A 9,114-nucleotide genomic window follows, 5' to 3' on the forward strand; every position below is an offset into this window, starting at 1 on the left:
TCGGGGGAAGCAACCAAGATTGGCCAGGTGCCTCTGCTGTGGGCTCCTGGCACGAAAGGGTGAAGTCCGTCTGAGTCCACCGACCAATGGTGACGCGCAGCGCCTTCGCGGCGCTTCCTGATTGGCGGGCATGCAGGGTGGGCGGGAGGGAGGAGAAGAGGGGGCGTCCCCTCCCTCCACGGATGCGCTTAAAAGGCGGTGGCGGTGGCGGCAGCGCCCGGCGCCCGGGCTCACCTCGGCCATGAGCAGCGCAGCCGGCCCAGACCCGTCGGAGGCGCCCGAAGAGCGGCATTTCCTCAGGTCAGCTGGGGAGAGGGAAGCTGGAGACGGGCATGGTTCCCATGGGGCCAGGAGCAGCCCGTAGGACCGGAGGCAGGGTCATAGCTGGGACAGAATGGGGTCCGGGGACTGGAGACGGGCACAGCCGGGATGGAGGTTCAACGGCAGAGGCATGACCACGGTGGGGAACCGGAGGCAGGGATATGGCCAAGACGGGCCTGGGAATCCCGGGAATCCGAGACCCTCCTGGCATCTTGCTGGAGACACTAAGCTGCGTTGCTGGGGAAACTGCCTCCGGGGCAGCCCGCCCCTCATGAATGATTCATCAGCAGCGCTGGTCGCTCCCCCACCGAACCCCAACCGTGGCCCACCCCCACTCTCCATCTCTCCCAGGGCCTTGGAGCTGCAGCCCCCACTTGCCGACATGGGAAGAGCGGAGCTTAGCTCAAATGCTACCACCTCCCTTGTCCAGAGGAGGAAACAGGCCTGGGGAAGGCAGTCATGGCTAGAGCAGATTTGGAACGCAGGGCCTGTTTGCCAGAGGTTGGTGAGTTTGGGATCTAGAACTGGCGCCGTGGCTGTGACTCTCACCTCATCCTCCTCAGCCTTTGTGACATGGGACCCCAGGCAAGGCTGTTGACCTCACTGTGAACCAGATGCGTCCAACAGCTCCTGCCCACTGCCCACCTAGCAGGGCACGTGTCCCCTCAGCCGATGTCCAGACTCAGTCTAGGGAAGAGTGTTTTAGGAGCTGTGACTTCACCTTGGGGTGAAGGGGTGAGGTGAGGGGGGCCTCAAATGCTAAGTGAGGGGAGTGAGGGGGCTCTCAGGGGTGGGTAGGAGCTAGAACGTAGTGGGGAACTGGCTGACGAGGCTGGAGACACAGAAGGGCCTCTTAGGCATGGTGAGGAGTTTGGAGTTTGAATGTTCCCAGAGCCCTCGGGAGCCATCAGCAGGTTTGGGACCCGGTGATGCAATCTGGTGTTCGAGTTTTCAAAGCCCCCCCAGGCTCATGTTGAGTTTTGGGGGCAGGAGGCTGCTGTGTGCGGCCAGGTGATCCCCCGTGGTGGTCTGGTGGGCAGAGGTGTGAGGTGGAGAGAAGCAGGTAGGACTGAGAGCAGGGTGAGTGTGGCATGGCCACCCTGGCCTGAGGTTTCACCTCCCAGAAAGCCCCCTCCTGGAAGCATTTGGCGAGTGTCAGGCCCAGTTCCCTTTGGACCCAGGCCACTTCAGGCCTCCTGGGTCTGACAGGGAAATCCTTGGGGCCTTGAAGCTTCTCTCATCTAGGGGCCGAGATTCGGGATAGCAAAAGGCACCACTGAACACCCCCAGAATCCCACAACAGCAGAAGGGACCTGCCCTGCCTGCCACCCTCCTTCACCAGGCTCCAATTCCCACGCAGCCTCCCACCCCCACCCCACAGCTGCTGCTGTGCCCCACCCCCAGGTTCCTAACCTGGACGACCCTCTGCCCACAGAGCCCCCATTATTCTAATGACCAGTTAGACAGGAAGAGAATGTTCCAAGTGGCTGCTAGAGGCCAAAGCTTTGGGACAGAAGAAGAGGAATGCATCGCCCTCCCGCCCTCCACTTCCTCCCTGCACCCTCCTGCGGGGGCAGCAGTCAGAGCTGTCACAAGATGGAGGTGGAGGAATGAGCCATGTTCCCAGCCTGCCAGATTCCTCACCCCGAATGCAAACGCACCTCCTATGTGCTTTCCTGGGAGCTGCGCTGGCCTGCCCCGGGGGGACTCTGTCTGACTTCACCATGAGCTCCTTTTCCTCACCCCGTCCTTCAACTTCATCCTATGTCAGCTGCAGACAGGCTGAGGTTTGAATTTGGCTCTGTTTACTGGGGTGTCCCAGGGCATGTGACTTTCCTGCCCTGAGTCTCTGTCTCCGTCTTTATGTGTGGACCCCCGAAGTGTCCTCTTCACCATGTTCCTCAGTCTGGGATTTGAGGCTCTGCCTGCCCTGTCCGCTTGATCACTCTGCTTCAGCCTCCCTTCTGCCCCTTGAACATACCAGGCTCCTCCCCACCCCAGGGCCTTGGCTTTTGCTATTCTTGCCCCTGCATTACCTGCCACGATGTGCCAGGCCTCCTCCTCCAGGAAGCCCTCGCTGACTCCCATCCCATAGCAGTCCTCCTTCTCCTGCACTCTGCCTACCTGGCCTTATCATGCTGCAAAATTGGCCAGAGGGCAGACATCTCCCACTCAGAGAGTTGAAGGAAAGAGTCTCAGGATTCATCCCCTCAAAACATCCACCATCTGTAGGTCTGGCTCTATGTCTTTGTTCATGTCCTGTGGCTCTGGAGACACCAAGGGGGAAAGACCCAGTTTCCCAACTTGCTTCCTGCATGATCCTGGGCAAGCCACTCGGCTTCTCTGAATCATTAGTTGTTTTTCCAACTTTTCTAGGCCTGGCTCTTTTTATTTATGTTTGTGTTTTTTATTATTATCTTAGAGACAAGGTCTTGTTCTGTCGCCCAGGCTAGAGTGCAGTGGCGTGATCATAGCTCACTGCAGCCTCCACCTCCCAGATTGAAGTGATCCTCCTGCCTCAGCCTCCTGGGTCACCGGGATTACAGGTGTCCACCACCACGCCCAGCCTAGTCTGACCAATTGTGTAGGTCACCCGAATATTCAGTTTTGCTCCGAGAGGTGGAGACGGACCCCAGTCATTCAGTGAAGTGGATGGCAGAGCTTCACCTCCAGCTAAGTAGCCACATTTTCTGGCAACAAATAACCTTTTTTTTTTTTTTTTTTTTTTTTTTTTTTGGAGACGGAGCCTCACTCTGTCACCCGGGCTGGAGTGCAGTGGCACGATCTCGGCTCACTGCAACCTCTGCCACCCGGGTTCAAGCGATTCTCCAGGTTCAAGCCTTAGCCTCCTGAGTAGCTCGTACTGCAGGCACCCACCACCATGCCTGGCTAATTTTTTGTATTTTTAGTAGAAACAGGGTTTCACCATGTTGGGCAGGCTGGTCTGGAACTCCTGACCTCAAGTGATCCACCCGCCTCATCCTCCTGAAGTGCTGGGATTACGGATGTGAGGCACCGCGCCCGGCCTGGCCACAAATAATCTAATTATGTCACTGCCCCTGAAAATCGGTCACCAAAGGGTCTCATAGCCCCAGGCCCCAAGGCCTCCCCGCTGAGTGTGCCATCAAACACTGCAGCCTTAAAAACCCATGGACCCCAGATGCCCCCAGTCCTGTCCACCCCTTTCAGCGTCCTGAAGCTTGTTCCGTGGCTCCCACTGCCTGAAATCAGCCCATCGCCCCCATCGAAGTCCTTCATGCTCCATTCCCCTTTCTTGGTTCCCTCCGCCTTGGGAGCTGGGGACGTCTAGGTCCGGTTCCGTGTCCCACGCTTTGGAGCAGTAGAACCAACGCGCGGCCAGCGCATCTTCTGCCACCAGAGGGCGCCCGCGCCTCGGGCTTTGGCTCCCACACCGCGGCCCGCCAGGCCTCGATTCAACCCGCGCGTCGCACGGTGAAACTGAGGGCATCCCCAGCTCAAGGCTGCAGACGCTACTCGGGGGTACGGGGTGGGAGGGTGGCATTGGGACCGGGTTCAGAAGCTTGGCGGAACATTTCTGGCTCCATCTGAGGCTCTGTCTCTGTGTGTCTCTGAGTGTCCCATCCCACTCTGTCCCCAGCACCGCGGAGGCAGCCGCCCTGGAGCGGGAGCTGCTGGAGGATTATCGCTTTGGGCGGCAGCAGCTCGTGGAGCTGTGCGGTCATGCTAGTGCCGTGGCTGTGACCAAGGTACCTGACCCCTGACCCCCAACCCTGACCCCAACCAGACGGCCAACTCTCCTGAGCTGCATGACTGCTGTGACCAGGGTGGTTCACCCCTCAAGAACTCCCTTTTTGCTTGGGCCTACCCCAGCCTGATGGGTAAACTGAGGCCCAGAGAGGCTCATGGCTGGTGCAGGCCAGATGGGGACCTGAGACCCCTGGTATCAGAGAAGGCCAGGGTGGAGGTTATTGCAGGGACAGTGCCACGACCCTGGAAGTGCAACCCCTCCTGCACATGTGACCCGCCTGCTTCTGCCACCTCCTGGGTCTTGGGCACCAGGGACATCTGCTCCTGCGATCTGAACACCCCTAAACAACCCTGTTCTGCAGGTGGGGAAACTGAAGCTCAGAGGTGGCGAGGGGCCTGCCCTGGGTCAGAGGGGGATGGAAGCAGAGCTGCAACCCAGGTGTGTCTGGCTCTGGAGTAAACCCCCACACCTCGAGGGGCCAGGAGGATGACACAAGGGTGATAGCAATAATCATACTATGGAGTGCTTCACCGTGCAGCCAGCAGTGCTGGGCATCAGTTTCCTCTGCAACAGCATAATAAATGGTACTGACGAGTCAGTCCCTAAACGTGAACGCCTCAGAAAACTGTCCCATACAGTCGAGGCTCTAGCGTGACTGCCTCCTCTTCCTCCCCTGCCCTCCTCATCCCCCTCGCCTTTCTCCTCCTTCCTCCTCCTCCTGCCCCCTCCTCTTACCCTCCTCCTCCTTTCTCTCTCCCTCCTCCTCCCCTTCCGCCCCTTTCTTCTCTCCTTTCTCCTTCCTCTCCCTCCTCCTCCCCCTCCTCCTGTTCTCCTTCCTCCTTCCCACTTACCCTACCTCCTCCCCATCCTCCTCCTCCCCATTCTCTCCCTCCTCACCCCTCCTCCTCTTTTTCTTCTTATTACCACGGTATACTTTTTAAAAACTCAATGTTTTTCTTCATGTGGACTTAAATGTTTGTATTTCCAAATGAAATAGATCCCGGGTGAGGCGCCCAAAGGAGAAGGAAAATCAAAACCCCAGAAAGAAACCCAGTAGTCACTACTCGCCTGGCGCTCAGTGGCCAACTGTCTGGTTTTTGCACTGAAAGCCCCTTGTCTGTCCAGAAGCCCCTCAGTCCCAGTCTTGGGTCTTGGGCTCTGGGCCCGGTGTGGCTGGGATCGCAGGCATGTTCATGGCAGGTCAGGACTGCGCTAAGCCTTTGGGGAGGATACTTGAAAGGGGAGTAATCTGCTGTCTGTGTGGTTGGAGCTTAAAGTACAGCTGGGGCTCAAGAGACACCCAGAGTGCCTGTCAGGCGGTGGCACTGTCATCGCATTTGATAAAGGCCAAACTGAGTCTGGGAGAGAAGGGGCTGGGGCCACGCAGAATCAGGGCAGGGCTGGGGCCAAAATGCCTGGAGAGACAGAGTCTGAGAGATACAGAGATGGCCAGAGACAGATGGAGAGAGACAGATAACAGAGAGATACAGAGACAGCCAGAGACAAATGGAGAGAGAGACAAATGGAGAAAGAGAGCCAGAGACATACAGAAAGACAGAGACACTAGAGTCTGAGAGATACAGACAGACACAGAGACAGCCAGAGACAGATGGAGAGAGACAGAGACACAAAGAGAGCCAGAGACACAGAGAGTCTGAGAGATACAGACAGACACAGAGACGGCCAGAGACGGAGAGAGACAGAGACAGACAGACAGAGACACAGAGAGTCTGAGAGATACAGAAACAGCCAGAGACAGGTGGGGAGAGAGACATGAAGAGAGCCAGAGACATACAGAGAGACAGAGACACACAGAGAGACAGAGACACGGAGAGTCTGAGAGATACAGAGAGACACAGAGACAGCCAGAGAGAGACAGAGAGGCCCCAGGGCATCGTGGCTAAGGTTGGGCTCCCCTACTCCACAGCCTCCAGGAGGGGCTGAGGTCTGGAAACATGGGCGGGGGTGGGCCCGCGGTGAGAAAGGTGGAAGAATGTCTGCAACTCAGGCGGAGAATAAACAAACCGCACTCCGGGCGACGGGCAGTGGCTGGATGCACGTTTTTCCTGCACCGACCTGGCAGAGCCTGAGACCGGGCCTCTGCATCTCCAGCGGGGAAACTGAGGCCCCAAGAGGCCCAACCCCTCATCCAGAACAGCTCACCTCCTGTCCTATCCTGTTGCCTCCAGGCCCAAGCCCCATCCCTTCCCCTACTCCGGGCCTCAGTTTCCTCTCCAGGCAAGGAGGAATCTGGACTGTGCCTGTGCCTTTGCTGTGTCCCCTACCACCAGGCGTTCCCGTTGCCCGCTCTCTCCCGGAAGCAGAGGACGGTGCTGGTCGTGTGTGGCCCGGAGCAGAACGGGGCAGTGGGGCTGGTCTGTGCCCGGCACCTGCGGGTGTTTGTAAGTAGCAAGGACCCCTTCGACCTCCCAAAGTCCCTGCCCCTGCAGAAATCACTGCCTTCTTTTGATAGCTTCCCAGGGGGACATTGACGCAGGGCCAGGTTATAGAATATGCCCAGTGCTTGTCCCAGGCAGGGTCTGGTGCTGGTGACCAGGTCAGGGGAGTCTGACCCCCTCTTCTCCCACCCCCAGGAGTATGAACCCACCATCTTCTACCCCACACGCTCGCTGGACCTGCTGCATCGGGACCTGACCACCCAGTGCGAGAAGATGGACATCCCCTTCCTGAGCTACCTGCCCACTGAGGTCAGCGCTGGGTGGCAAGCAAGGGGGACATGGTGTGCAGTGGCCCTGGGCCACCCTGACCCTGCCTGCCTTCCCCAGGTGCAGCTCATTAACGAAGCCTATGGGCTGGTGGTGGATGCCGTACTGGGCCCCGGCGTGGAGCCGGGCGAGGTCGGGGGCCCCTGCACCCGCGCGCTGGCCACGCTCAAGCTGCTGTCCATCCCCCTCGTGAGCCTGGACATCCCCTCAGGCATGCCAGGCAGAGGGGGGCACATTGGGGCCTGGGGGGCTTGGGTGGAGGCCCCTGTGCCCCAGCTCCTGGTCGCCCCTGCCTGTCTGAACCTCAATCTCCCCAGCTTGGATGGACCCACACTTGGCTGAGGCTAAGGGTCACACCCATCCCTCTGATGGGGAAGATCGAGGCTGCCACCCCAGGTGACCCCAGGTCTCCTCTTTCCTCCACCCCAGTGCCCAGCCCACATGCCCTCTGCCCACCCCTGGCCCAGTTGCCTGGGCAGACGTGAGCTCACTCGGCAAAGGCCGCGCCCGCCCTGGCTGCCGCCCCATGCCTGTTGGAACCATTAGGCGACAGGCAGACGGAACAAACAGCCGCTGGCCAGCCGGACCCTCCGTGGGGGTGGCTGGACTCCGGGGGATGTCCCCTGGCTCTCGGGATCCCAGGGACATCCCAGCAGGTGCCACAGAGCAGGGGCACCAAGGGAGGCGGCGTGCTGTCTGATCTGAGTAGGGAGGCTGCAGGCTCAGCCTAGGACAGAGAGGGTGGCTCTGTCAGGTCAGAGGGGATGGTTAGGAACCTCTAGTCTGAGGGTGGTGGCTAGGGTCAGAGAAGGATTAAAGTCTGAGGGAGGATCCAGTGTCTTCTGGTGAGTGGCCCCAGAATCAAGTCAGAGATAGGAGAGAAGGCAAGGCTCCTAGGCTGAAAGTGGAGGCTCATTCAAGAGGTGACGGAGGCTGGGTGCAGGGGTCACACCTGTAATCCCAGCACTTTGGGAGGTCGAGGTGGGCGGGTCACCTGATGTCAGGAGTTCCAGACCAGCCTGGCCAACATGGCGAAACCCAGTCTCTACAAAATACAAACATTTGCTGGGTGTAGTGGTGCACGCCTGTAGTCCTAGTTACTTGGGAGGCTGAGGCAGGAGAATCGCTTGAACCCGGGAGGCAGAGGTTGCTGTGAGCTGAGATCGTGCCACTGCACTCCAGCCTGGGCAATAGAGAGAGACTGTATCTTAAAAACAAACAGGCTGGGCGCAATGGCTCACACCCATAATCCTAGCACTTTGGGAGGCCGAGGTGGGCAGATCACAAGGTCAGGAGTTCGAGACCAGCCTGGCCAATATGGTGAAACTCCATCTCTACTAAATATACAAAAATTAGCCAGGCATGGTGGCGTGTGCCTGTAGTCCCAGCTACTCGGGAGGCTGAGACAGGAGAATTGCTTGAACCCGTGTGGCAGAGGTTGCAGTGAGCCGAGATTGCACCATTGCACTCCAGCCTGGGTGACTGAAGACAGAGGCTGGGTCAGATGGAGGAGGGCGATTGAATAGTAGGATAGGAGCAGAAGCAGAAAGTCTGAGTGCAGAAGCTCTGGTCTGATTGGGAGGGAAACACCTCCAAGGACTGGGAGAGACTTGTCTGAGGGCGGAGGCAGAGTTCTAGGGGGCGACAAGTCTCACCAGGACCCATGTGCCAGAGAGAAAAGGCTGGGTCTGATGGGGGAGGGGAAGTGGGGGTGGGGCAGCAGGACTCTGGTCTGAGGGCAGAGGCTCAGTGTTGGAGGGGAGAGGAGAGGAGGCAGGGACAGGATGGACTCTAGGCTGAGGGCAGGCCACCCTCCCAGTTCCCAATCCCCCCGGACCCTCCTCCCTCAGGCTGGGACGCAGAGACCGGCAGCGATTCGGAGGACGGGCTGCGGCCTGACGTGCTGGTGTCTCTCGCGGCGCCCAAGCGCTGCGCTGGCCGCTTCTCCGGGCGCCACCACTTCGTGGCCGGCAGGTTCGTGCCCGATGACGTGCGCCGCAAGTTCGCTCTGCGCCTGCCGGGATACACGGGCACCGACTGCGTCGCGGCACTGTGACCGCCACCCGCGGCCACACCGCAGGGACCCTCGCCAATAAACAGCCCTCCCACCACCGCCGCCTCGCCTCCGCCTCCTTTGTGCACCGGGCCCGCTGCGGGGGTGGGCACACTCGAAGAGGGACTTCACACGGTCCCTGGGTGATCCAAGGCGGGGAGCATGAGAAGGGCGGTGGAGTGGGACTTCCCGCTGGCCTAGAAAACTTCAGCTAGGGCTGGGGGCGGTGGCTCCTGCCTGTAATCTCAGCACTTTGGGAGGCTGAGGCTGGAGGATCGCTTAAG

General features: G+C 59.3%; 1 protein-coding gene across 7 annotated transcripts, besides 2 other annotated features; it reads left to right on the forward strand.

Annotated features, from left to right (window-relative positions):
• YJEFN3 (YjeF N-terminal domain containing 3) lies at nt 220-8,890 on the forward strand. Of its 7 annotated transcripts, none has more exons than NM_198537.4 (7): nt 220-300; nt 673-822; nt 3,941-4,049; nt 6,343-6,453; nt 6,646-6,759; nt 6,838-6,988; nt 8,628-8,890. In NM_198537.4, the coding sequence occupies exons 1-7, from the start codon at nt 242-244 to the stop codon at nt 8,831-8,833; spliced, it is 900 nt and encodes a 299-aa protein (NP_940939.2). In that variant the 5' UTR covers nt 220-241; the 3' UTR covers nt 8,834-8,890. The 7 variants fall into 7 exon arrangements, with proteins under 7 accessions (NP_940939.2, XP_005259960.1, NP_001177257.1 ...); XM_011527997.2 differs by lacking the exon at nt 220-300 and adding an exon at nt 4,413-4,635 and having other exon boundaries at nt 694-1,056; XM_011527998.4 differs by lacking the exons at nt 220-300; nt 673-822 and adding exons at nt 2,816-3,822; nt 4,413-4,635.
• Nucleotides 955-1,886: an enhancer, noted in NCBI's record as "H3K4me1 hESC enhancer chr19:19640455-19641386 (GRCh37/hg19 assembly coordinates)". NCBI's record gives its function as "activates a minimal SCP1, AML or CMV promoter by ChIP-STARR-seq in naive H9 embryonic stem cells {active_cell/tissue: H9 hESC(naive)}" and the evidence as "EXISTENCE:reporter gene assay evidence [ECO:0000049][PMID:30033119]".
• Nucleotides 3,668-3,777: a silencer, noted in NCBI's record as "silent region_10446". NCBI's record gives its function as "represses an Ori minimal core promoter by ATAC-STARR-seq in GM12878 lymphoblastoid cells {active_cell/tissue: GM12878}" and the evidence as "EXISTENCE:reporter gene assay evidence [ECO:0000049][PMID:35858748]".
• Nucleotides 8,891-9,114: the final 224 nt, after the last annotated feature.

The sequence above is a fragment of the Homo sapiens genome, chromosome 19, assembly GCF_000001405.40.
Source record: "Homo sapiens chromosome 19, GRCh38.p14 Primary Assembly".
Lineage (NCBI taxonomy): Eukaryota > Metazoa > Chordata > Mammalia > Primates > Hominidae > Homo > Homo sapiens.

Coding starts and splice junctions, on each gene's coding strand:
- YJEFN3 (XM_005259903.5), top strand. CDS start 395: ATGGGGTCCGGGGACTGGAGACGGGCACAGCCGGGATGGAGGTTCAAC. Junction 6,454..6,645: donor CCCGGCACCTGCGGGTGTTT/GTAAGTAGCAAG, acceptor TCCCACCCCCAG/GAGTATGAACCCACCATCTT. Junction 6,760..6,837: donor TGAGCTACCTGCCCACTGAG/GTCAGCGCTGGG, acceptor TGCCTTCCCCAG/GTGCAGCTCATTAACGAAGC.